This window comes from Homo sapiens, chromosome 19, assembly GCF_000001405.40.
Source record: "Homo sapiens chromosome 19, GRCh38.p14 Primary Assembly".
NCBI lineage: Eukaryota > Metazoa > Chordata > Mammalia > Primates > Hominidae > Homo > Homo sapiens.
In genome coordinates this window covers 53962612-53990448 of record NC_000019.10, presented here as the reverse complement: position 1 = coordinate 53990448, position 27837 = coordinate 53962612, and the positions used below count along the sequence as shown (strand labels likewise).

The 27837-nt window shown below is 53.2% G+C and overlaps 1 protein-coding gene and 1 non-coding gene across 2 annotated transcripts, besides 1 other annotated feature; both read right to left on the bottom strand.

Moving 5' to 3' along the window:
- Positions 1-233: 233 nt before the first annotated feature.
- Positions 234-27512, bottom strand: CACNG8 (calcium voltage-gated channel auxiliary subunit gamma 8). The gene is made up of 4 exons (NM_031895.6): positions 27024-27512; positions 12220-12303; positions 10442-10582; positions 234-8369 (listed from the first exon to the last, which is right to left on the bottom strand). The coding sequence occupies exons 1-4, from the start codon at positions 27304-27306 to the stop codon at positions 7600-7602; spliced, it is 1278 nt and encodes a 425-aa protein (NP_114101.4). The 5' UTR covers positions 27307-27512; the 3' UTR covers positions 234-7599.
- Positions 8052-8142, bottom strand: MIR935 (microRNA 935). Its single transcript, NR_030632.1, has one exon. It is a non-coding gene; the product is annotated as a microRNA 935 (primary transcript).
- Positions 9934-10466: an enhancer, noted in NCBI's record as "H3K4me1 hESC enhancer chr19:54483237-54483769 (GRCh37/hg19 assembly coordinates)". NCBI's record gives its function as "activates a minimal SCP1, AML or CMV promoter by ChIP-STARR-seq in naive H9 embryonic stem cells {active_cell/tissue: H9 hESC(naive)}" and the evidence as "EXISTENCE:reporter gene assay evidence [ECO:0000049][PMID:30033119]".
- Positions 27513-27837: the final 325 nt, after the last annotated feature.

Below are 27837 nucleotides of genomic sequence, written 5' to 3'. Positions count from 1 at the left end.
TGGATCTGAGGGAGGAGGGGCTGGGCCTGGACTCCTGGGTCTGAGGGAGGAGGAGGGCCGGGGAGCCTGGACTCCTGGTCAAGGCGTTGGCAGACCCAGAGTCCTGGGCCTCAGGGAGGAGACTGGGGCCAGAACCCTGGGTCTTGAAGGATGGAAGGCCTGATTTCCATGTTGGAGAAAGCGCAGGCCTCAGGGCAGGGCCGGCTGTCAGGGGCACAGAATGAAAGCAGCACTCCTCTTCATCGAGTTTATTAGACGGGGCACCCCTGGGGGACCTTCCATGCAGTTTCAGCTCCCCCAGGAGCAGGGACAGAGGACAGCCGTGTGGCATGGCGGCAGGGCCTGATCTTCAACCCCTCACCCCCTACCCCTCAGCCCTTCTGTGGACGGCCCAGGTGGGACCCACCTTTCACCAACTCCTTCTTCTCCCACAGTTGGCTGCTCCAGGCAGGCCTGGCGCTGACCTGAGCGAGGCTCTGGTGCACGCTGGGCCTCTCTGCCCACCCCCTGCTCTGGACTTTTCCGATGGAGCACGTGTTTCCCCGCAGTGTGATTGTCTGTGTCTGGTTCTTCCAGCAGACTGGGGCCGGGGCCAGGCACAGGAGGAATTCACCTTGGCATCCTCAGCTCTACCCGGCACAGGGCCAGGTCACAGGCAGTCTTGGAAAATGTGCATGGGGTGACTTGAATGAATGGATGGATGAATGGGCAAAGGAATGACCAGATGGAGTGAGATGATGGCACACAGACATCCCCGCCCCAGCTAGGGGAGGGGCCTGCTGCGTTTCCTCAATGCCCGCGTGGCCCCGTCAGAACACAGCCCCCTCTGTATTCTAATTGTCTGGACTACCTGTCCCCCCCTCTGAAGGCAGAGATGGGACAGAAGTGGCCTGAGATTGCAGGGCCTTGTACTTGGAAGTCCTCAGGAAATATTTTTTTTTCTTTTTATTGATCATTCCTTGATGCTGTGCTTGCTTCTGAGTCTCCACGTTGCTTTCTATGCGAATCTCTGGGTCTTTCTCCGGCTTACGTCTCCCTATCTCTGTGGTTGTGTTTTTGTTATCTCTGGGACTTCTCTGATTTGTGTACCTGTCAGTCTCTCTCCTCCTCCTTTTCTGTCTTCTCTGTATCACCTTCTTGTCTTTGACTTTATTTCTTTGACTTTCTTTCTTTCTGTTTTCTGAGACAGGGTCTTGCTCTGTGGCCCAGCCTGAAGTGCAATGGTGCAATCATAGCTCACTGCAACCTTAAACTCCTGGACTCAAGCAATCCTCCCGCCTCAGCCTCCCGAGTATCTAGGACTACAGGCGTGAGCCACCACGCCACAGCTCATTTTTCATTTTTGTAGAGACGGGGTCTTACTATATTGCCCAGGCTGGTCTCAAACGCCAAGCCTCAAGCAATCCTCCTGTCTTGGCCTCCCAGAGTGCTGGGATTACAGGCATGAGCCCCCAAGCCTGGCCAGAAAGTATTTCCAAGAACTGAGTGAATGTTTATTTCTGAAAATGAATGATGAAAACGTGTTCTTCCCCTTCACCTCAATAGGTCTTGACAGGGTCTACAGGGGGAATCCCAGAGTGTGCCCGGCGCTGACAGCAGCAAGAGACAGGAGCTGGGCAGAGCATCCCTGGCTAGGGGATCTGCCAGAGCCTAGCTGACAGCATCCTCTCTTCCCTGCCCCCTGAATTCATCTTCCCCTCCTGGCCCTGGGCTTCCCCATCTCTCTTGCTCCTGCCTGCTGTGACAGCTAATTGCAGGATGCAATTTTCTGCCTCCCATCTCCCTATCTGCATGTCTCCCTACTTCCTTTCAGGGTCATTTTTTTTTTTTTTTACCTTTTTTCTTTTTTGAGACAGAGTCTTGCTCTGTCACCCAGGCTAGAGTGCAGTGGTGTGATCTTGGCTCACTGCAACCTCTGCCTCCTGGGCCCAAGAGATTCTCCTGCTTCAGCCTCTCAAGTAGCTGGGATTACAGGTGTGCACCACCGCACCTGTCTAATTTCTGTATTTTTAGTAGAGACGGGGTTTCACCATATTGGCCAGGCTGGTCTCGAACTCCTGACCTCAAGTGATCCACCCACTTCGGCCTCCCAAAGTGCTGGGATTACACACGTGAGCCATCGCACCTGGCCTTTGTGTCAGTTACACACACACACACACACACACACACACACACACTTGCCTGAATTCCCTTTCCTTCTGTCTTCCCCCCAAATTCTCTCTCCCCTCCACTCCAGCAGGGCTTCTGTCCCCACCACTGCACTGAACTGACATCTTATCTTATCAAGATCACCAACCCTGTCCATGTCATCAGACCTAATGGTCACTCTGCTCTCTGCATCCTTGTCCAAGTCTCAGCAGCCCTTGGCACAGCTGGCTGTCTCCTCTCCTTCTTGAAACACAAAGGTGCATTTGCCCTCTGTAACCCTCCTGGTTTCAGCCTACCTCGAGATCACTCCTAAGCTCGTTTTGCTACATCCCCTTCTCCCCCAGATGTAGATGTCCCCAAGGCTCTGGCCAGGGTCGCTTCTCTGTCCCCACCCCCCTGCTAGGCCACGTCACCCAATCCTGTGGCTTTATGTTGACGTTTCCAAAACTTACGTTTTTGAGCCACGGCCTCTCTTTCCCCCAAACTCCAGTCTCACATATCCAACTGGCTATTTGATACCACAACTCGGATTTCTCGAAGGCAGATCTATCTTGACACATCCAAAAGAGAAGCCTTGGTTCCTCCCTCCCAAAGCCACTTTCCTGATCCCAGTCTCCTCGTTCCTGGTAACAATCCTCATCGGTGCCCATCAGAGATGTGCGTGCCCAATTCAGAGAGTTCTTCTCTTCCTGGTTCCTTTTCCTTCCCTCCTCTATGACATCCAGTTCACCACCAATGCAGGCTCTAGCCTCCAAAATCCCATGCCTTCTTCCACTTCCTCCATCCCACTAACTCCACCTTGGTCCAGGCCTCCAGCAACCAGAGGAAGGCAACAGCCCGCTACCTCCTTCCTTCCCCTTTGACTCCTGAAGTCTACGTATGCTCAGCACAGCAATGTAATTCTGCTGTTCTTGTTTAAATAAAAATATGAGGCCGGGCGCAGTGGCTCACTCCTGTAATCCCAGCATTTTGGGAGGCCGAGGCAGGTGGATCATTTGAAGCCAGGAATTTCAGATTGGCCTGGCCAACACGGTGAAATCCCGTCTTTACTAAAAATACAAAAAAATTAGCCAGGCGTGGTGGCACATGCCTGTAATCCCAGCTACTCAGGAGGCTGAGGCAGGAGAATCACTTGAACTTGGGAGGCGGAGGTTGGCAGTGAGCCGAGATCAGCCCACTGGACTCCAGCCTGAGACAGAGCAAGACTCTTTTTCAAAATAAATATAAATAAGAAAATAAAAATATGATCATGGCATGCCTGTGCTCAAAACCCTCCAAGCACTTCCCATCAGATCTAGAATAAAATTCAGATTTCTTCCCAAGGATCCAAGGCCCTAACTGATCAGCCCCTACCCTGTGCCTCTGTCCTATGGTGGATCTGCTCACCGCACAGGCCTCCTCGAAGACCTGCTACTTTTCTGGGCTTTGGGGCTGCCTCTGGTGGGTGGAATGCCTGGCCCCCAGACTTTCTCACCTCTCTTTCCTACTCACAATCCACATCTCTGTGACCTCTGCCACAAGGTCTACTCCAAGGACCTCATCTAAAGTCATCCTTGCTCTGTCATTCTGTTACCACTCACTGTCGCCCAGGCTGGAGTGCAGTGGCGCGATCTCAGCTCACTGCAACCTCTGCCTCCTGGGTTCAAGTGATCCTTCTTTCTCAGCCTCCCAAGTAGCTGGGACTACAGGCACACCAGCACACCCAGCTACTTTATTTATTTATTGGTAGAGATGAAGTTTCACCATGTTGACCAGGCTGGTCTCGAACTCCTGACCTCAAGTGATCCACCAGCCTCGGCCTCCCAAAGTGCTGGGATTACAGGCATGAGCCACTGCGCCCGGCCTTCAGCTTAATTTTTAAAGCACTTTTTGGTTACTGAAATGATATTATTTATTGTTTATCTCTCCAGTGTGTTTCAGGAGAGCAGGCCCTTGTCCGTCTATTTGCCACCACATCCCCTGGCCGAGATTGGGTCTAGAACAGGTTGGCACTCAATAAATATTTCTTGAATACTGGGAAAACAACACACCAGAAATGGAGCATTCCTTGACGCTGCGCTTGCTTCTGAGTCTCCACGTTGCTTTTTGTGCGAATCTCTGAGTCTGTCTCCGGCTTACCTCTCCCTCTCTATCTCTGTCTCTGTGTGTGTTTCTGCTATCTCTGGGACTTCTCTGATTTGTGCACCTGTCAGTCTCTCCTCTTCCTCTTCTCTCTCCTCTGTATCACCTTCCTGTCTTTGACTTTTTCTCTGTCTGTGACTCTACTAGTTTGGTCTCTCCTGCTCTCCCCCTCCCTCCCCATCTTGCTCTTCCTCCTGCCTACCCTCAACCTCATTCTTTCTCTCTCTCTCTCTCTCTCTCTCGTTCTGTTTGGCCTTCAGACTCTAGAATCCATTCTCCCCTAACCAGTTCCCTCTCCCTCTTCCAGCAAATATTTGCTGTCTCTCAATTTTTTTTTTTTTTTTGAGACAGAGTCTCGCTCTTTCGCCCAGGCTGGAGCGCAGTGGTGCCATCACGGGTCACTGCAGCCTCACCCTCCCAGGCCCAAGCGAGATCCTTTCACCTCAGCCTCCTGAGTAGCCGGGACTACAGGCGTGCACCACCACACCCGGCTAATTTTTGTATTTTTGGTAGAGACAAGATTTCAATATGTTGGCTGGTCTGGAACTCCTGAGCTCAATCTGCCTGCCTCAGTCTCCCAAAGTGCTGGGATTAGGAGCCACAGCACCCGGCCAGATTTGTCTCTTTTAACACCCGCTCCGGCATCCCTCTTCTCTCCACGTATCCGTCTCTCTCACTCAGCGCTTCTCCGTCTCACTGATTTGTATTCCTTTTCCTACATTTCCCAGCATCTCTTCCTGAAACCGCCTTGGCAGAATTCTTCCTAGGGACCTTCAGTCTCTCTCTTCCTGGTCCTTCCACACAGGCCTCGGAGAGAAATTCTGAACACCCAGCTCTGATCTGTACCCTTCCGTCAAGAGAAGGGCACGCAGAGCCCCTGGCAGCATGGCACCACCGCTGCCACGTCCTCCTCAAGCTGCGTCTGTGCCTGTTTTCCCGCCAGACTGGGAGCCCCTTGAGAGCAGGGCAAGATCAAAATCACCTCTCCACTCCCAGCACCGCCCAGCACAAGGCTTCGGGGGAGGCCTCAGGAAACACTTGCTGAGCAAATATGGAAGGGAAGCCTACTGGGCGCTGTCCCCTCTGCCTTCTCAGTGAACTTCAAACCCATCCCCTCCAATCACCGCACAGCCCTTGCCCCCGCGCAGCTGTCATCCTCTCTCACCATCCTTAGAAGAGCCTCAGTCCCTCTGCCTGGAACTCAGGCACCTTTTTCTCTTTTTTTCTGAGACAGGATCTCAGTCTGTTGCTCAGGCTGGAGTGTAGTGCCGCGATCCTAGCTCACTGCAGCCTCGAACTCTTGGAGTCAAATGGTCCTCCTCCCTCAGCCTCCTGAGTAGCTGTGTCCACAGGTGTGCTCCACCACGCCCGGCTAATTTTTTTTAATGTTTTGTAGAGACAGGGTTTCGCCATGTTATCCAGGCTGGTCTCAAACTCCTGGGCTCAAGTGATACTCCAGCCTCAGCCTCCCAAAGCGCTGGGATTACAGGCATGAGCCACCGCGCCCGGCCACCCTGGTACCTTTACACTCTAGCTTGTGGCTACTTTCCCGGCCTCATCTCCCAGCCCCACCTTGTACATCAGCATCCCAGAACTGTTAGCACTGACCCCAATACATCATGCTCGTTCACTTCCTCCCGTTTTCACCCAAGTTGTTCTTTGGCCCCACAAGCCTTTCTCATGCCTTTCATCAACCAGAAGATGCCCACTCATTTCTTCAAGACCCAGAATGGGCATCATATTCTCCAGGAAGCCTACCCCAAGTGCTGCTCACTCCTGGCAGTTGGTCACTCTGTCCACCGTGTGCCACGGTACCCACGGTGGTCCGGGTTCCAGCACCGATTGCCCTGCCTGGATGGCGGTGTTTGATGACAATAAACTGCTTGAGAGCAGGGCTAGAGTCTGTTTCACCCCTGGGGATCTGGATCCTAACACACTTCCTGGTACCTTAGCAGATGGCCAAAAATGGCAATGGGTGAGTGGCTGAATGAACGAGTGACAGACACATGAGTCTCTAAGCCCCACGGCTTTCTCCTGCACACCAGACACCATGACTATGCTTCAGCATCTGTGTAATTACGTGCTTCCTCCCACAAGAGTGTGAGCTCCAAGGGCCCGTGCCCATGTTTGATGCTGTATTTCAGCACATCTCTGCCTCCTACTCTTGCCTCCGAGTTCCTGTCTTCCCTTTGTACACCATTCACGTTAGCGTCCTGCTTAAACCCGTTCCACGGCCCTCACCACTCCTAGAATAAAATCTGAACTCCTGACCTACGAGCCCCTGCACAATCTGGCCCTGTCTGTGTCTCCGGCCTCACCTTGATCCCCGCTCACCTGCCTCACTACCCTTCAGCCCTCGCTGCAAGCTCCTTCCTGCCCCGGGGCCTTTGCACGTGCTGCTCTGCCTGCCACACTCCTGCCCCAGCTCCGCCCTGCTGGCTTCTTCTCATCCTTTCACTGTCCACTGAAATCTCTTCCTCACAACTGGGTTAGGCTCCCCTGATGGAGCATTTCATAGCATCTCGTTTCTCCTATAGCCTAACTGTAATTTATTGTGTATGTACATGATCGATTAATGCCTGTCTCATGCACAAGATGTTTACTCTATGAGACGTCGGGGCCCCTGGCTGTTTTCCTGCCTCCTGCACGCTGAGCACGGAGCACAATGCCTAGCTTTTTAAGGCGCACAAATAAATTGCCGGTAATGAATGAATGAATGAGAAGGCCCTTTCTGTGCCTCGTTCGTGTCCCCTGCTCCAATGCCTTCTTATGTACCAGTGCCTGGTACACAGTAGGTGCTTAATAAGCCCTTGTGGAATAATGAATGAAAAAAATGAATGAATGCCCGCGTCCAACCCTTCTTTCTGCCTTTCTGCATCCCTTCGCTGTGTCTCTTTATATAGGGCATATATATAGTTTGTGGGTGTAACTATGTATTCGTGTATTATGGGCCCCTCTCCAGGAGTTGGGCTGGGCTGGGAGTCCCTCCCTCCCCTCCCCCCGCCCCGCCCCCCATGCACACAGCAAAACATGAAAAAGAAAACATCTCGAAACTGCAAAAAACACCATGGCCCTCCCCCCTCCCCATAGATCCCCCAAAAAAATAAAACACGACGCTCCCTCACAGCGGCCCCCTCCCTCCCCTGCCCCCTCCCTCGGGGTCCCTGCTTCGGAGGGGGAGGGGGGCGGGGAGGGTGGGCGTGGGGCGGGCCCAGCAGTCTCCAGCGCGCTCACGGGGGAAAGCGGGGGCGCCCCCGACCCCGGCAGCCTCGATGCACGCGCGCCCGCGCACGCGCCCCGGACACGCCCCTCGGCTCCCCCGCCGCGCCCCTACACAGGCGTGGTTTTCCTGTTGAGCGTGTTGGTGTTGGAGGCGGCGGCCTCCTTGGCCAGGGTCCCGGGGGCGGGCGCAGAGGGCGCGGGTGGCGCGGGCGCGGGCGGGGCGGGCGGCCCGGTGACCGTGACCGTGACGCCGCCGCCCGCCTCCTTGGGGAAGGCGTTGTGCAGCGTGAGGAAGCCGGACGCCCCCCCGCGGTCCCGCTCGGCACCCGCCCCGCCGCCGCCTCCGCCGCCGCCCCCGGCGCCCCCGGCCGCGCCGCCGAACGCCCCCACGGCGCCGCCGCCGCCGCCGCCGGCCCCCGCCAGCCCCGCGGCCACGCTGCCCTTGGAGGGGTCGCGGCTGAGCGTGTACATGGAGATGTCCGTGGAGGCAAAGCCCGGGCCCCCGGGGCCGCCGGGAGACGCGTCCCGCGACGGCGACGGCTCGCTGGAGCGGGAGCTAGAGCGGGAGCGGCGGCGGTAGCGGAAGCGGTAACTGGGCAGACGGAGGATGGCCGAGGGGCCGCTCCCGCCACTGCCGCCCGCGCCCCCGCCGGCCTTGAGCAGGTCCGAGCGAGACTGGCAGTGCGCCTCGCGGCTGCGCTCGATGTAGATGTTGACGGCCAGCACGCCTATCACCTCGGCCAGGATGAACGACAGCCCGCCGAAGTAGAAGGACCAGCCGTACGAGTAGTGGTTTTTCTTCTCCTCGTCCCGCTTCGGGCCCGGCTCGCCCGCGTTGGCGGAGATGTACACGATCACGCCGATGATGTTGCTCAGGCCTGGGCGGGGACGGTCAGACGGGAGCCTCGAGGCCACCCCCGGCCCCGCCCCCGCCCCCGGCCCCGACCCCTGCCCGCCTGCGCCAGCGGGCCCAGGCGCCACCCCCAGGCGGTCTAGGCCCCACCCCGAGTGGTCTAGACCCCCGTCCTGGATCTGGCTGACCCAAGTCCTGCCAGAAGTGAACACAACTCCCCGCCCGATGCTCTAGGCGCTTCCCTGCTGGTCTAAGCTCCAACCCAGAGGGCTCCGGCCCACTCTTAGCTGGCCCAGGCCTCACCTCTGCTGGTCTAATCCAACCCCGGCTGGTCGAAACTCCATCCCCCAGGTGGTGTAGGGCCGCCAATGGTCCAGACTGCATCATGCGTGGTCCTGGCCCAGGCAGGCTCAAGCACCCCCTCAGATGGTCTAAATTCCACCCCCAGGTGGTCCAGGCCCTGCCCTGAATGGTCCAGACACGGCCCTGGATGGTCCAGGTCCTGCCCCCAGATAGCCCACGGCCCACCTCTGCCGGTCTAACCCAGCCCTGGCTGGTCTAAACTCTGCCCCAGGTGGTCTAGGACCCACCCCCAGATGGTCTGGGCTGCCCCCACATGGCATAAACCCCACTCCTCTAGCTAAGGTCCCAACTCTGCTGGTCTAAACCCCACCCTGGCTGGTGGTAACTCCACCCCAAGCGGTCCAGGCCCCACCCCTAGGTGGCCTAAGCCCCACTCCCAGCGAGTCCAGGCCCTGCCCTGACTGGTCTAAAACCCACCTTTGATGAGATGAGTTTCCAGGCCCTGCCCTAGTTAGTCTACCTCCACCCTTAACGTTATAAACCTGGGTTTTTCCCAAGCCTCATCCCTCTGCTCCTTTGAACTCTGTTAATGATGTCATCCTGCTGTGATCAGGCCCTGCCTTTCACTTATCTAATCTCTCTTCATATAATTCCTGCCGGAGTATCCATTCTAGGCCCTCCCCTACTGGTCAAAAATTTGCCTTTAATAAAGCAGGCCCCGCCTTCTACTCTAGGCCCCACCTCCAGCTTACCAAACCCCGCCCCGTGCGGATCTTGGCCAGGGTCCTTGCCGGTCTCGGGTCCTTGCCGGTCTCAGGTCCAGCTACTCCGGCCTTTCAGATCCTCCAAGCCCCACCCCTTGCAGATCTAGACCCATCCCCAAAGCACACCCTGCTCTTCAAATATGCAAAGCCCTCCCTCTTCTCTGTATTCTACTCCTCCAAAAAAGCTCTGCCCCTGGAATTTCCCAATGCTACTCATACGGGGTAGAAAGGGGGCCTTACCCCTTAATTGCGTGCCTCTTAAGTGTTCCAGTCCTAGCTCTCTGCTCGTCTAGGCCCTAGCTCTTGAGACGGCCAATCCCAGGTACTGACTGGCTTTGGTCGGCCTCTTGCTTCAATCAGCCAGGTTGATTCTCTGTGCCCTTAAGGACATAACCCCTCCCCCTTTGGCTTTTCCAGGCATCGCCCCGTCTTTTCTAGCCTCTCCTTCTCCAAATGGCCACGGGCAAGGGCCGATTCAGTCTCCCTTACCCAGCCCCTTTAGTTTCCACTTCCCGGCCCTGGACGGTTTCCCAGGACCAGCCCCCTCTTGGATCCACCAAAGTCTCCAAAGGCCCGCCCCTTAAAGCAGGCTCCTCATCGGCGCTCAGATCACTTTCTACCTCTCCTGGGCCCGCCCTCCAAGACCCAGCCCCGCCTCTCTATCCTCAAGAGCCCAATTGTGTCTCAAGGTCCCACCCCCTCCCCAGCTCCTCCCCTTCCGTCTCCAGGACGGCGGGCTTGGGATCCTAAGCGCCCGGCGTCTTACGCGCCAGACACCTGCCTGTGTCGGTTTACTCCTCCGAAGGCGACGCGAGAACTACACCCACCTTACCCAGCGGGTGGCGATGGAGCTTGGGGACCGCCTAGGAAGGCTCCGGGCCCCCGGGGGTGCTCGGGGCAAGGTGGCTTTGCAGACACACGAACGCGCACTTGCACTCACGCGCGCGCGCGCACACACACACACACACACACACACACACGTGCGCGCCCAGGTGGGCCGCCCCGGTCGCCCCCTCCCTCTGCCTCTCACCTGCTGCCACGAACAGGATCCCTGCGCCCAGAATGATGTTCCTCTTGGACTTGTAGACGCGGGAGGCCGCCACGCACACACCCCCGAGCAGCAGCAGGATGGCGCTAAGGATGGGGAAGATGCTGGAGGCCCGGACAACTCCTGCGGGGGAGGAAGGAAAGGAAAAGGAGGGAGAGCGAGGGCGGTCAGACGCGGCCGCCTGCGCCCCCTTCCCGGCCCCCCATCTCGCGGCGCCTCCCGACAGTTCTGTGATTCTCTCTCTCCGGCTGTGTTCTGGTTTATTTTACTGTTGCCTCATTCTCTCTCCTGTTTTTAAAATTTCTCTATTTCTCGGTCTGATTTTCTCTCCCTCTTTTTCTTTGTCCTTTTCTTTTTTCTTCGGACTATTTTTCTCTCTCTTGGAATATCTTTCCCCCTCTTTATTTATCGAAATCACTCTCCCTGTTTTTCTCCCAACTTCTCCATGGATCCTCTCCCTTTCTCTTTCTCGTCCCTTCCTTCCTCTCGTCTGCGAATTTCTTTCTCCATATCCCGCAAATCACTTACTACCTCTCTCCACACCCCCTCCCATTTTCTGCCTCGCTTCATCTATCTGGGTTTCTCTCTCTCTCTACATTCCTTCCTTCCTCCTCCTCCTCCCGTTTCTGCCAGGCTGAATCTACTTCTGAGTTTCTCTTCCCTTCTTCTCCTCACGCCCCCACCCCACCCAGTTTTATTGCTGGCTTCATCTATCTTTCTGGCTCTGTCTCCCCTCTCTCCTCTTATCTGCTTGGCCTCGTATGTCTTCATAGGTCCCCCCCCACCCCGCTTTTTCTGCCTGGCCTCATCTGTCTTCCTAAGTCTCTCTCCCACTTTTTCTCCCTGGCCTCATCTGTCTTCCTAGCCACCCCCACCCACAACTTTTTCTGTCTGGCTTCACCTATCTTCCTAGGTCTCTCCCCCCTCTTTTTTTTTCTGCCTGGCCTCATCTGTCTTCCTAGGTCTTTCCCCACCCCACCCCACCCCACCCCTTTTTTCGCCTGGCCTCCTCTATCTTCCTGGGTCTCTCTCTCCCCTCCTTTTCTGCCTGGTTTCTTCAATCTTCCAGGTTTCTCTTCTCTTCACTCCCTTCCTCTCCCTTCCTCCTTCCCTCCCTCCCTACCCCCTTTAGGCCTGACTTCGTCTATCTCTCTTTCTCCCTCTTTTCCTCCCTCCCTTCTTCCCCTTATCTCTCTCTCCCCGCCCCCACTCCCCGCCCCGCCCTCCTCTTTTTCTCTGCAGTCCTTCCTTTCCACCCACCCCTAAAACCCCAGGCAACTAGATTTTGCGATTTCGGAACCTGGCTGAGGCCGCAGCCAATCATCATTTAGGATTTGCCGCGTTCTCGGGGTAGCTACCAATGGCAATACAGGCTTTCCCAGCCGGCTCCCAGTAGTGGCCCGTCACCGCCGCAGATTGCCCCACAGCTCTGCGGCGCGGTGGCCAATCCCAGTCCGGGATTCCACAACCAGTCACGGCGCAGAGTCGCCGCGAGGGCCAAAGAGAGCAAAGCGGCCAATTAGCGCCCAGGATCCTCCCTCAGCCCGCCCCAAGGTGAGAGGAGGGGGCGGGAACGAGATCAGTCAGCCAATCGGGGACCAGAGGATCTCACTATCTGGACTCGGATTGGCTGGGAGGCTAACCTCGGCGTGTCGATCCAAGTGCCGGAGTCCCAGTGCCTTTTCCCGGCACCCACCCCGACGCCTTCCAGGCCCCGCGATTTGACCCACTCCCCACGTCTGTCCCGGACCCCCACGTACGGAGTAGATACTCCGCGCTGTCGTGGTCGTAGTCCGTGTCCTCCGGGAAATGATTGATCTTCACGCAGACGCCTCTTTTCAACCCTGGAGGAGCGGGGAGGGCAGTGGTGGGGGCGGATACTTCAGGGTTGGGGGCGGGGCAACCCCACTGACAACCGACCCTTCCCTTCCCCAAACCCCTTCTCTCTCTGGGCTGCTTGGGAGACCGCAAGTCCTGGCTCCTGAGCCCGACTCGTGATATGGGACAAACTTTCAACTTCTCTGGTCTGTTTCCCCGCCTGTTAAAGAAAAGAAGAAAAGCAAGGAAAAAAACCCAAAGTCTAACATCCTTGCAGCACTCACTGCAAGGCTACAGGACCTTGGTCCTGTAAGCTGCGCTAAGTTGCTCCAGCACTCTGGACTTCCGGCTCCCACCTCTGTAAGAAAGAGGGTGTTGTTGGCTTCAATAATAGCAAGGCGCTTCCCACCTCTCAATTGGTTGAAAAGTCTGGAAATGCGTGGGAAAAAAAACAAGGAAAGTGATGCGGAAGCCGATGAGGACTACATTTCCCATGAGACCCCGTGAAGTCTGGAGTCCAGTTGTGAGAAGAGCAGCCGCAGTGGATCATGGGAGTTGTAGTCTCTAGTCCTGTGGGGATGGGGAGAGAGAGGTTCCAGTCTCTTTCTGCAGGGAACCTGGAACCTTCTGGAGAGAAATGGAGTAGTTGAAGCAAGCAGAGGTGTGTGAGGGGTGGAGTATGCCTCTAGGGGTCATGCATCCTCATCTCCTTCCCCTCCTAAGATGCTCATCCTCAGCTATTTTCTCATCCTTGGGAACAGTTAATGTTTTACCACCTCTAGCACATAGCTGGAGAAAAAAATTAAAAATATAAGTATAAACAATGTAGTTTCCTCAACTGCCCAGCTCTGTCCAGTTCTGCAGACCTCTGCCCATGCTGTGGAACATTCCAGCTCACATTCTTTGCTGATGTAGTACTTTACCTGCAGCAGGCAGCTCAGGAGGCACCTTCTTGAGGAGGCTTTCCCTAGACACACACAGACACACATGCACACTCATTCCTCCCACCGAACTTGGGTCAGTTTCCTGCTCTGAGGTGCCCCGTAGGACATGCATTAGTTGGTAGATGATCTTCTTCGTCCTCGGTAAGCTGAGAGTTCCTGGAGGGGGTAGGGCATGGGAGTCCGATTCCTCTGTGTGTCCCAGCATTTCTTGGCAGTAGGCCTGGCACACGGGAGACCTCAAGAAATAAGGGCTGAGGCCGGGCACGGTGGCTCACACCTGTAATCCCTGCACTTTGGGAGGCCAAGGCGGGTGGATCACTTGAGGTCGGGAGTTCAAGACCAGCCTGACCAACATGGTGAAACCCTATCTCTACTAAAAATACAAAAATTAGCTGGGCATGGTGGCGGGTGCCTGTAATCCCAGCTACTCGGGAGGCTGAGGCAGGAGAACCACTTGAACCCAGGAGGTGGAGGTTGCAGTGAGCCAAGGCTGCACCATTACACTCCAGCCTGGGTGACAAAGCGAGACTCCGTCTCAAAAGAAAAAAAAAAGAGAGAGAGAAAGAAATGAGGGTTGAATGAAGAATGAATGAATGAATTAATGAATGAATATAAGCATAGCAGAAGGTGAGATCACAGGCAGACCATGACCAGCAAAGGAAAGTAGGGGAAAGAATAGGGATAAAGGAGGAACTGGGAAGAATTAATATAAGGGAGTGAGTAATACTGGCAAGAGCTAATGTGCGTTTGGTGCTTGCTAGGTGGGCCAACTCATTTGATGCTCCCAAGAGTCCTATGAAATAGATCATGTGGTTTGTGTGCTGTGGCAGCCAAATGTTAGGTATTGGAACGTCTCCATTTTTTTTATTCTTTGAGACAGGGTCTCCCTCTGTTGCCCAAGTTTGGAGTGCAGTGGCACAATCTCGGCTCACTGCAACCTCCACCTCCTGGGCTCAAGTGGTCCTCCTGCCTCAGCCTCCTGAGTAGCTGGGACTACAGGCTTGCGCCACCATGCCCAGCTAAATATTGCATTTTCTGTATAGACAGGGTTTCCCCATGTTGCCCACTTTGCCCAGGCTGGTCTTGAACTCCTGACTTCAAGTGATCCGCCCGCCTCAGCCTCCAAAAGTGCTGGGACTACAGGCATGAGCCACTGCGCTGGCCTCCACCACTTCCTTATTCTGTGTCCTTGCTGGTGTTACATAGGCCAGCTTGCTTCAGTTTCCCCACCTATAAAATGCAGAGAACAGGACCTACCTCATGGGACTGATATGAGGGATTGGGTCTAGGTGGAGATTTAGCACTTGGCCTTGAACACAATTAAGTACTCGGTTGATAGCAGCTGATGTATAGCACCCATTACCCAAACGTGGAAACTGAGAAACAGAAAAGGGTCATCATTTCGCAGCTGATGGTGGCAACAAAACTCAAACACACATCATGAATGTGAGCATCTGGGCTGTTCGACACTGTATTACCAGCATCTAGAACAGTGCCTAGTGCATATTGAGTGCTTAATAAGTATTTTTAATGAGAGAATGGTTGAATGGGCCAGGTGTGGTGGCTCACGTCTGTAATCGTAGCCATTTGGGAGACCAAGTGGGTGGATCACCTGAGGTCAGGAGTTTGAGACCAGCCTGGCCAACATGGTAAAACCCCATCACTACTAAAAATACAAAAGTTAGCCGGGTGTGGGGGCATACGCTTGTAGTCCCAGCTACTTGGGAGCCTGAGGCAGGTGAATTGCTTGAATCTGGGAAGAGGAGGTTGCAGCGCGCTGAGATCGCGCCACTGCACTCCAGCCTGGGCGAGAGAGCGAGACTCAGTCTCAAAAAAGAAAAAAAAAGAATGATTGAATGGGTCCACAAGCACATGAAAAGATGCTCAATTTCACTAATCATTGGGGAAATGCAATCAAAACCACAGTGAGATACCACCTCATATTCGTTAGTATGGTTACTATTAAAAATAAGCAAAATAGGCCAGGCGCAGGAGCTCACGCCTGTGATCCCAGCATTTTGGGAGGCTGAGGTGGGTGGATCACAAGGTCAAGAGAATCGAGACCATCCTGGCCAACATAGTGAAACCCCGTCTCTACTAAAAACACAAAAATTAGCTGGGCATGGTGGTGTGCACCTGTAGTCCCAGCTACTAGGGAGGCTGAGGCAGGAGAATCACTTGAAGCCGGGAGGTGGAGGTTGCAGTGAGCCAAGATAGCGCCACTGCACTCCAGCCTGGTGACAGAGCAAGATTCCATCTCTAAATAAATAAAAAAATAAAATAAAATAGGCTGGGTGCGGTAGCTCACGTCAGTAATCCCAGCACTTTGAGAGGCCGAGGTGGGCGGATCACGTGGTCAAGAGATCGAGACCATCCTGGCCAACATGGTGAAACCCTGTCTCTACTAAAAATACAAAAATTAGCTGGGCATGGTGGTGTGTGCCTATAGTCCCAGCTACTTGGGAGGCTGAGGCAGGAGAATCGCTTGAACCCAGGAGGTGGAGGTTGCAGTGAGCCAAGATCATGCCACTGCACTCCAGCCTGGGTGACAGAGCGAGACTCTGTCTCAAAAATAAATAAATTAAATAAATAAATAAATAAATAAAATAACACGTGTTATGAAGGATGTGGAGAAATTGGAACCTTGTGCACTGTTGGTAGAAATATAAAATGGTGCAGTGGCTATGGGAAACAGTGTCGAGGTTCCTCAAAAACTACAAATAGAATCATCATATGATCCAGCAATGCCAGTACTGGTGATAGACCCAAAAGAATTAAAAGCAGGCACTCAAATAGATATTCATACACTCGTGTTCATAGTAGCATTTTTCACAATAGCCAAAAAGCGGAAACACCCCAGTGCCCGTTGACAGATGAAAGGATAAACAACATGTGCTATGTACATACAATGGAATATTATTCAGCCTTCAAAGGGAAGCAAATTCTGATACATGCTATAAACATAGATAAACCTTGAAGACATTATACTCAGTGAAATAAGCCAGTAACAAAAAGACAAATACTGTGTCATTCCACTTATATGAAATTCCTGGAATAATCAAATTCATAGAGACAAAGTGTCATGGTAGTTGCCAGGGCTGGAGGGTGGGGGGATGTGGAGTTATTTAACGGGTACTGAGTTTCCATTTTGCAAGACGAAAAGAGTTCTGGAAATTGGTTGCACTTACCACTACTGAAATGCATACTTAAAAATGATGAAGATGGTAAATTTATGTTATGTATAATTTACTACAATTATCAAAATGAATGAACGAATGAATGAGTGAATGAGTGAATGAATATACAACTCCCACATACAAACTCTTAACCCATCAGCACCTCCACCATGGTGTGGTAGGTAAGATGACAAGCTCAATGTCCCTCCTTTCTTTCTTTTTTTTTGGGATGGAGTCTCACTCTGTCGACCAGGCTGGAGTGCAATGGCTCGATTTCGGCTCACTGCAACTTCCACCTCCTGGGTTCAAGCCATTCTCTTGCCTCAGCTCCTGAGTAGCTGGGATTACAGGCGTGTGCCACCATGCCCAGCTAATTTTTGTATTTTTAGTAGAGACGGGGTTTCACTGTGTTAGCCAGGATGGTCTCGATCTCCCGACCTCAGGCGATCCTCCTGCCTCGGCCTTCCAAAGTGCTGGGAGTACAGGGGTAAGCCATCTTGTCCAGTTTTTATTTATTTATTTTTTTTAAGAGATAGAGTCTCACTCTGTTTCCCAGGCTGGAGTGCATTGGCACAATCTCGGCTCACTGCAAACTCCCCCTCCCAGGTTCAAATGATTCTCCTGCCTCAGCCTCCCAAGTACCTGGGATTACGGGCACCTGCCACCACCCCTGGCTAATTTTTTGTATGTTAAGTAGAGATGGGGTTTCACCATGTTAGCCAGGCTGGTCTCGAACTCCTGGCCTCAGGTGATCCACCCACGTCAGCCTCCCAAAGTGCTGGGATTACAGGCATGAGCCACCGCGCCCAGCCTGGTCCCTCCTTTCTTGAATGGGATCATAGTAATTCTCTCAAAATATTCGTGATGATTAAATGAGACTGAGCATGTAAACCACATGGCACACCGGATTGCTGAACAGGTTAGTGGTGACAGTAATAATAACTAGTTCTGACTGAGCACTAACCGTGCACCAGGTACTGCTCCAAGCATTTGACAGGTGGTTAATAACTTGCTCAGTCCCTAGGACAAACCCTCGGAGGTAGGCAGTGACAGCATCCTTGCTTTACAAATGAGGAAATGGAGGCATAGGGAGTTGAAGAAGTTGCCCAAAGCCCTATTGGGGGTGAGTGATGGGGAGAGGTTCCTTCCAGCACAGCTCGGTTTGGGAGTTCAGCATATTTAAGACAGTAGAGTCTGGTGGCTGTGGGGGTTATTGATCGTGGGCTCTGGAATCCAACTCTCTGGACACACATCCCAACGTACCACTTCCCAGCTGCGTGGTTTTGGAACCGGATCGTCCCTGAGCCTCTGCTCTCTCATTGGGAAATTGAGGATGGTAGTGTGACTTTAGAGGGCTTCAGTGAAATTTCAGTGAAAGTTAGGCACAGAAGCCCAGGCGCGGTGGCTCACGCCTGTAATCCCAGCACTTTGGGAGGCCAAAGCGGGTGGATCACCTGAGGTCAGGAGTTCGAGACCAGCCTGGCCAATGTGGTGAAACCCTGTCTCTTCTAAAAATACAAAAATTAGCCAGGCATGGTGGCAGGTGCCTATAATCCCAACTACTCGGGAGGCTGAGACAGGAGAATTGCTTGAACCTGGGAGGTGGAGGTTTCAGTGAGCAGAGATCACACCATTGCACTCCAGCCTGGGCGACAAGAGTGAAACTCTGTCTCAAAAAAAAAAAAAAAAAGAAAAGAAGAAAAGAGAAGAAAGAAAAAAAAAAGAAAGAAAGCAAGCAAGAAAGAAAGGCACAGAAGACCAGGCGCAGTGGCTCACAGCTGTAATCCCAGCACTTTGTGAGGGCGAGGTGGGCAGATCACCTGAGGTCAGGAGTTCAAGACCATCCTGGCCAACATGGTGAAACCCTGTCTCTACTGAAAAATACAAAAAGTAGCCCAGCGTGGTGATGGGTGCCTGTAATCCCAGCTACTCAGGAGGCTGAGGCAGGAGAATTGCTTGAACCCAGGCAGCGGAGTTTGCAGTGAGCCGATATCACGCCAGTGCACTCCAGCGCACTCCAGCCTGGGGGACAGAGAGAGACTCCGTCTGAAAAAAAAGGAAGTTAGGCACAGAATTCACAGTAGTTATGCTTAATGCCACCGATCAAGCTATGAGTTTTTCTTGTGCATGGATGGTGATGTCATGGCCCTGAGTCTCCTCCCAGGGGCTGCCTAGCGCAGACCCGGGCATGCAAGGGTTAAGGGGCAGCTTTCTTGCAGTGCGGACACGTGGAGAACTGGGATCCAACCCACTCTGCCCCTCACATGCTGGGTAGTCCAGGCTGAGCCACTTCCCCTTTCTGGCCATCAGATTCCTGCTAATAATACATTCCCCTGGCAAAGTGGCGAGGGCTTAATGAGATAATAAGCAGGGCAAAGTGCTAGCAAAGGGGCTCTGTATGGTCGGCACTAATAAATAGGGCTGTGGGCCCAGACTCTTGAGTCCTGAGAGAAGACCTCGGGGTGTGGCTGAAATCCCTGAGGAGGGGGCACAAGCTGGGCTGTCCCATGCAGATGCCTCCAGCTCCCAACACTTGAAATGTGGCAATGGAGAGGTTCTGTGAGGGTAAAATATTTACTGGGTTTCAGACTCAGGATGGGGAAAAAGGGAGAGAGAGTGTCTATGTATAATATTTCATTAATAATTTTTATATTGATTACATGTTCAAGTGATAATATCTTGGCTATGCTGGGTACCTGTTCCTTTTTATTTATTTTAATGTAGCTACTAGAAAAATTTTAATTTTCTTTTTTTTTTTTTGAGACAGGGCCTCAATCTGTTGCCCAGGCTGGAGAGCAGTGGCACAATCTTGGCTCACTGCAAACTCCACCTCCCGAGTTCAAGCAATTCTCCTGCCTCAGCCTCCCGAGTAGCTGGAATTACAGTTGCCCACCACTGCACCTGGCTAAATTTTGTTTTTTTAGTAGAGACGGGGTTTCACCATGTTGGCCAGGCTGGTCTCCAACTCCCGACCTCACGTGATCCACCCACCTCGGCCTCCCAAAGTGCTGGGATTACAGGCGTGAGCCACCGTGCCCAGCCTAAAAATTTTAACTATATATGGTCACCCATGTTATATTTCTTTTTTTCTTTTCTTTTCTTTTCTTTTTTTTTTTTTTTGAGATAGGGTCTTGCTCTATCACCCAGGCTGGAGTGCAGTGGCACAATCACAGCTCACTGCAGCCTCGACCTTCTGGGCTCAAGCAATCCTTCTACCTCAGCCTCCCTAGTAGTGGGGACTACAGGCATGTATCACCATGCCCAACTAATTTTTAATTTTTTACACAGGCGGGGTCTCCCTATGTTGCCCAGGCTGGTCTTGAACTCCTGGACTCAAGCAATCCTCTCACCTCGGCCTCCCAAAATGCTGGGATTACAGGGGTGAGCCAGTGGCCCATCCTTGTGTTATATTTCCTTTTTCTTTCTCACTCTGGAATCTCACTCTGTTGCCCAGGCTGTAGTGCGGTGGCGCCATCTCAGCTCACAGCAACCTCCGCCTCCTGGGTTCAAGCGATTCTCCTGCCTCAGCCTCCCCAGTAGCTGGGACTACAAGCACCCACAACTACGCCCGACTAATTTTTGTATTTTTAGTAGAGACGGGGTTTCACCATATAGGCCAGGCTGGACTCGAACTCCTGACCTCAAGTGATCCGTCCACCTCAGCCTCCCAAAGTGCTGGGATTACAAGGCGTGAGCCACTGGCCCATCCTTGTGTTATATTTCTTTTTTCTTTCTCACTCTGGGATCTCACTCTGTTCCCCAGGCTGTAGTGCGGTGGCGCCATCTCGGCTCACTGCAACCTCTGCCTCCTGGGTTCAAGCGATTCTCCTGCCTCAGCCTCCCAAGTAGCTGGGACCACAGGCGCCCGCCACTGCGCCTGGCTAATTTTTTGTATTTTTAGTAGAGATGGGGTTTCACCGTGTTAGCCAGGATGGTCTCGATCTCCTGACCTCGTGATCCGCCCGCCTCGGCCTCCCAAAGTGCTGGGATTACAGGCATGAGCCACCGCGCCCTGCCAGCCTCCTGATTACCTGGGGTTACAGGCGCTTGCCACCAGCCCTGGCTAATATTTTTGTATATTTAGTAGAGACAGGGTTTCGCCATGTTGACCAGGCTGGTCTCGAACTCCTGGCCTCAGGTGATCCACCCGCCTCGGCTTCCCAAAGTGCTGGGATTACAGGTGTGAGCCACCGCGCCCAGCTGAAAGCAAGTTTATTAAAGACAGTAAAGGAATAAAGAACGGCCGCTCCTTAGGCAGAGCAGCCTCCGAGCTTGTTTCAGTCATTACATTCTACTGCATCTCTCAGACACACTCCAAAGGGAAATGGAGATTGAGCCCAAGGGTTCCCAGGAGCACAGTGGCTGCAGGACGCAATGACTCAGGGGGACCCCGTTTCTACACCCCTGGAGCCCCGATGGGCTGAAAGCAAGTGGATTTGTTGCTTCATTCTCCTAGAAAACCAGACACACCTGGATTCAAATCCAGATGCTGGGCCGGGCAGGGTGGCTCACTCCTGTAATCCCAATGCGTTGAGAGGCCGGGGGTGAGAGGATTGCTTGAGCCCAGGAGTTCTAGACCAGGCTGGGCAATGTGGTGAGACCCATCTCTAAAAAAAAAAAAAAAAGTAAACAAATCAGAAACAAAAACAAATCCAGACCCTACTGCATATTAACTGTGTGATCTTGGGCAACTCACTTCACCTCTCTGAGCTTCACTTCTTCTTTTAGAATGGGAATAATAAAAGTACCGGCTGGGCGCGGTGGCTTACACCTATAATCCCAGAACTTTGGGAGGCCAAGGCGGGCAGATCACCTGAGGCCGGAGTTTGAGATCAGCCTGGTCAACATGGTGAAACCCCGTCTCTACTAAAAGTACAAAAATTAGCCGGGTGTGGTGGTGGGTACCTGTAATCCCAGCTACTCAGGAGGCTGAGGCGGGAGAATTGCTTGAACCCGGGATGTGGAGGTTGCAGTGGGTTGAGATCGCGCCTCTGCACTCCAGCCTGGGTGACAGAGCAAGAATCTGTCTCGAAAACAAAATTAATAAAAATAAATAAATAAAGTACCTACTTTGCAGGGTTATTGTGCGCATTCAGTGACAAATGAATGACAATTACAACAACAACAGAGTCAGCCTTCATTCCTCCTCTCCTTGAAACGCTAACTTCCTTTGGCTTCCAAGACATCCAAGGACCTGTTTTTCCCCAAACCTGTGGCCACTCCTTTCTCCACTCCTTTGGTGACTTCTCACCTCCCTCCCTTTTTTTTTTTTTTTTTTTTTTTGAGATAGAGTCTCACTCTGTTGCCCAAGCTGGAGTGCAGTGGCACGATCTCAGCTCACTGCAAACCTCCACCTCCAGGGTTAAAGGGATTCTCCTGCCTCAGCCTCCCGAGTAGCTGGGATTATAGGTACACGCCACCACGCCCGGCTAATTTTTGTATTTTTAGTAGAGACAGGGTTTCACCATGTTGGTCAGGCTGGTCTCGAACTCCTGACCTCGTGATCCGCCTGTCTCAGCCTCCCAAAGTGCTGGAATTACAGGCGTGAGCCACCGCGCCCGGCCATCTCCCTCACATTTTAATAGTAGACTGGCCGAAAGCTTAAGCCTTCAATGACATAAGGACATTTTATCATTTGTTCTGGTCTCTTCTCTCTCTTTTTTTTTTTGTTTTTTTTGAGATGGGGTCTTGCCCTGTCGCCCAGACTGGAGTGTAGTGGTATGATCATGTCTCACTTTAGCCTCGACTTCCTGGGTTTAAGCAATCCTCCCACCTAAGCCTCCTGAGTAGCTGGGACCACAGGCACGCACCAGCACTTCCAGCTAATTTTTAAATTATTTGTAGAGACAAGGTCTCACTGTTTTCCCCTGGCTGGTCTCGAACTCCTGGGCTCAAGTGATCTTCCTGCCTTGGCCTCCCAAAGTGCTGGGATTATAGGTGTGAGCCACTGCACCCAACTGTCTCTTCTCTAAGTGATTCCATCCATCTGATTCATCTATATGATGATGCCCCTCAAACTGATATCTCCAGCCCAGCCTCTGGCCTCCTACATCATATCTCTAGCAGCCTAAATCACTGGTCAGCCAGCTATGGCTCACAGGCCAAATCCAGCTAAGAATGGGTTTTATGTGTTTTTAATGATTGAGAAAATGTCAAAGAAGAAGATGATTTTGTGGCATGTGAAAATGACATGGAATTCAAAAAAAAAAGTTTTTTTTTCTTAGAGTCTCTCTCTGTTGCCCAGGCTAGAGTGCAGTGATGCGATCTCGGCTCACTGCAACCTCCACCTCCTGGGTTCAAGCGATTCTCCTGCCTCAGCCTACCAAGTAGCTGGGACTACAGGCGCGTGCCACCACGCCTGGCTAATTTTCGTATTTTTAGTGGAGACCAGTTTTCACCATGTTGGCCAGGCTGGTCTTGAACTCCTGACCTCAGGTGATCCGCCTGCTTTGGCCTCCCAAAGTGCTGGGATTACAGGTGTGAGCCACTGCGCCCAGTGAAATTCAGATTTTAGTGTCCATAAATGAAGTCTCATTGGAACACAGCCACACTCACTTACAGACTGTCTTGGTCGTTTTCACGAGTAGTCGTGATAGAGACTGCTCCACAAAGCCTGAAATCTTTACTATATGGCACTTTATAGGACCTTCACTGTGCTGACCTCTGTCCAGATGTTATCTGTTAATGGGCATCGTAAATTTAACATGCCCAAAACTGAGCCCATGGTCCCTCTCCTTCATAATAAATTTGATAAGAGAAAATAAATAAAACAGCTGCTGTTTCATCTTATGAATGGCTCCCCTATTCTCAGGAGCTCAGGCCAAAGCCTTAGAGCGGTGATTCTCAACTCAGGGCGATTTTATCCCCCAGGAGACAGCTGACAATGTTTAGACACAATTTACAATTTTGGTTGTCACGACTGGGAAGGGCGCTGCTGGCATCCTAGTAGGAGAGATCAAGGCTGTTGCTCAGCATCCTACAATGCATAGGACGGCCCCTCCACACAGAATTATCCACCCCAAAATATCAACCATGCTGCGGTGGAAAAACCCTGCTTTGGAGACGCCCCTGGCTCTTCTCTCTCATATCCTACAACTGCTCCATCAGCAACTCCTGCCCACGGTAGCTCCAGAATATACTCAAAATTCAAACAACTTCCCAAACCCTGCTGCCCCCACCCTAGATGAGCCTCTCGTTGTCTCATTTGCCTTCCCCTCGGTCATTTGTTAACACAGCAGCAAGAAACATACCGCAAAAATGTAAGTCAGCTCGTGTGACTCCTCTGCTCAAGAACCTTCAACGGCTCCCATCTCCGAATCTAAAGCAAAGTGCTTTCTGGGATGTATAAGAAGCCGTGAGGCCGGGTGCAGTGGCTGACATCTGTAATCCCAACACATCGGGAGGCTGAGGCCGGAGGATTGCTTGAGCCCAGGAGTTTGAGACCAGCCTGGGCAATATAGTGAGACCCTGTGTCTACAAAAAATGGGGGCATGTGCCTGTAGTTCTAGCTATTTGGGAGGCTGAGGCAAGAGGACGGCTTGGGTTCAGGGGTTCAAGGCTGCAGTGAGCTATGGTCTTACCACTGCACGCCAGCCTGGGTGACAGAGCAAAACCCTGCCTAAAAACAAAAAAAGAAAAACAAAACAAAAACAAACACAGAAGCTGGCCAGGCATGGTGGCTCACATCTGTAATCCCAGCACTTTGGGAGGCCTAGGCGGGCCAATCACTTGAGGTCAGAAGTTCGAGACCAGCCTGGCCAACATGGTAAAACCCTGTCTCTACTAAAAATACAAAAATTAGCCGGGCATGGTGGCACACACCTGTGATTCCAGCTACTCGGGAGGCTGAGGTATGAGAATCGCTTGAACCCAGGAGGCCGAAGTTGCAGTAAGCCAAGATCACGCCACTGCACTACAGCTTGGGTGACAAAGCAAGACTCTGTTTCAATAAATAAATAAATAAATAAATAATTTTTAAAAAACAGAACCTGTGGGATGGGGACCCTGATACCCCTACGACTGCACCTCTTACTCCTACGTTCTCCGCCACCCACTCTGCCCCGGCCACGCTGACCTCACACTGGCTTGATCAACACACAGCCACACTCCCACCTCAGGGCCTCTGCGCCTGCTATTCCTACAGTCTGAAGCACTTTCCTCCATCTCTTACTTCCTTCAGACCTGTGATCAAATGTCACCTGCTCGGGGAAGCTTTTCCTAGATTCCTTATCTACTTCCCACGGGGATCCCTGACCCCTCCCATCCCCTCCCCCAACTCCTTGTCCTCCTTAGCACTCAGTTCTATCTAACACCCTAAAGGTTGACTTTACCTCCATCATTATCTGTCTCTCCCTTAGAATATAAGATATATAACGACAGGAGGTTTTGTCTGTTTGTTTTCCACTGCTGCAGCCCCAGAATCCAGAACAATGCCTGGCACATAATATAAACTCAATAAAAATGGGACGTTGAATGAACGAATGAATGAATGAATGACATCCCTACTAGATGCCACGTGCTGTCCTAGGGCTCCCATGATGGGAGCCCTCACACTTGGCTCTATGCCTGGTACTTGGTCAGACCAGTGAATGGACATGAACTCAAACTTCCACAGGAGAGGCAAAGAACATCACGAGAGCCGTGGGAGGAATGGGAGGCGAGACGGAGCAGATGGAGGTGACTGTGGGGAAGTGGAGACCCCCCAGCTGCTGCTCAGATCCGGCCCATCGTGGTCAGGGTAGAACACAGGCTTGTGCTAGATCTTCCGCCAGCTCAGAAGAAGCCGGAAATCAGAACTACAATGGGAAGCCTCCCTATTTTTAACTGTTGGCAATGGATTCAGATTTTGCTTTCAGTTTTAAACACTTTGTACACTAGACAGAGCGCATCTGTGAATCCCATCCATGAGATTCGAGTTCTGCTCTTGGCTCGGCCCCTTTCTCAGCTAGGTGACCTTGGGCAAGTGACTTCACTTCTCTGAGCCTCAGTTTACCCATCCCCAACAGCGAGGTGGTGCCCACCTCATAGGATTAAACGAGATAACGTTCCCGGCTTGTCGTGAACACTCAGCAAAACAGAGGAAGAAGGGGCAGAGGAAATAGAGGGGGATGAAAAAGAGAAGCAAGAGATTTCAATCTTTTGGCCGAAGGGGGCATCAGGATGGCTGGTTCCACTCCTTCACGTTGCAGACAAGGGCTGTGAGGCTGGGGTGCAGGAGGGAAGACAGTGGTCACACAGCAGGGCAGATATGCAGCAGAACTGGCACCCAAGACTCCTGCTTCCCAGCCCCGCAGCTACTTGATACTCAGGAAAGAAATACTGATGCTAAGAGTGGGAGAGAGAAGGGGTTGGCACAGCAGAGGGCAGGAGTCTTGGAGAAGTGGGGAAGTCGAGAGCCAGGGAGCCGAGCTAGGAGAGAAGCTGTGAGAGGGAGAACAGGACAGAGGAAAAGAACCAAGTCGAAGATCCGAGGAGGTAGCAGGGGCAGGAGCGAGAAGCCTTAACGTGAAGGCCTGAGGCATCGAGTCAGGAAGACGTCGAAGGAGGCATGAGTGGAGGAAGAGGAAGTGGAGTCCACTAAAGGAAAAAGGAGGAAAGGACCAGGATGGGAGGTTGGAGGGCACCCTGGTGGGAGAGACATGGGTGGGGGCACTGATGGGAAGAGAAAGATGAACAGGAGGAGAAGCACAAGGCAGAAAAGAGAGAAAGTCATGAGTGAGGGCGAGTTAAGGCACGAAGTTTCAGGGGAGCAGCAGCCAAAGAGAAGGGGAAAGAGACAGACCGGAAGACTGGGCCGTGAAAGGGGGCGGGAGAGGCAGGGGACTTCAGAGGACTGGGGGGGAAATGTCGGGAGAGAGAAGATGTCACGGGGCACGAGGGAGAGGAAATGAAGGGGCAGGTGGAGCGGAGGAGCAGGGTCAAGATGAACTGACGGGAAAGAGGGAGAAAGAGGCTGCTGGGTGCAGTGGCTCATGCCCTTCATCCCAGCACTTTGGAGGCCAAGGCAGGAGGATCTCTTGAGCTCAGGAGCTCGAGACCAGCCTGGGCAACAGGAGACCTCATCTCTACAAATAATAAAAAAAATTAGCTGGGCACAGTGGCTCATGCCTGTGGTCCCAGCTACTCAGGAGGCAGAGGTGGGAGGATGGCTTGAGCCTAGGGATTCGAGGCTGCAGTGAGCTGTGATTGTGCCACCGTACTCCAGCCTGGGCGACAGAGTGAGACCTTGTCAAAAAAAAAAAAAAAAAGAGAAAAGGCACAGGGCAGAGTGGAAGAAATGAAACAGGAGGAGCCCCAGGTACTGGAGAGAGGGAAGATGCAGGGGTGTGATGGGGCAGCGCAGGAGACACGGACTAGGGAAAGATAGGATAAGGGGGTTCAGCGGAGAGGCAGAGGGGCTGCAGAGGGAGCATGCCGAGGAATTCCGCAGGGTGCCAGGACGCAGGGAGGAGTGGGAAGGAGGGGAGAGGAGGTCAGGGGCGCGAGTGGGAAGGCGCAGAAGCCCCTCTGGCAGAGGAGGAGGGGTGCCCAAGGGGGCCCCAGGATCAGGGACAGGCAGCCCCGGGAGGCTCAGGGTCTCTCGGAGGGGAGCGGCGGGGGCTGCGGGGAGGGCCGCCCGCACCCTACCTTCCAGGCAGCAGATCCTCCAGAGGCCCGAGTGCGTGAGGCCGCCGGGGTCCTTCTTCTCCGAGGCGCCGCCGCCCCCGCGGTGGGGGGTCCCGTCGTCGCCGCCGGCCGTGAGGTTGGTGGTGTTGCAGATGAGGGCGCGCGTGTAGAGCCAGTAGTCAGTGCTGATGGCGATGGTCATGAGGCCGAAGGCGGCGAAGGCGCCCACCGTCGTCAGCAGCACCTGCACCCCCTTCTCGCACCAGAGGCCCCGCTCTTCGTTCCAGCGCTTCAGCGACTCCAGTTTGACCACGGGCAGCCGGGGGGCCGTGGGCCACCACCGGGGCAGCGGGGGCGGGGCCGTGCCGGCGGCTGGGGGGGGGTTCACAGCGCAGGCAGAAGCGGGGGGCCCGGGGCCGGCGGGGCTGGGGAGGGGGGCGGCGAGGAGGAGGCTGCGGCCGGGGAGGGGGTCAGAGCGCGGCCATGGTCGGCGGCTGGTGGAGGGCAAGGAGCGAGATCTCGCATTAGAGGAGAAGAAGGCACAGGTACCTCCCCCAGTCCCCGCCCCCCCCCCCCCAAAATCCCTGCCTCAGCTCCAGAAACTCCTTCCACTCGGGGCTCCACTGCTTCTCTTTCTCAAAAATAATAATAATAATAATAATAATAATAATAATTAATAAATAAGATGAAATCTCTCTCCACTCTTGTCTTCTGCCCAAGAAAGTCATCCCACCATCCCACTAACCCCACTCGGAGGAGTCCCCACCACCGCTAATAATTAATAAATAAGATGAAATCTCTCTCCACTCCTGTCTTCTGCCCAAGAAAGTCGTCC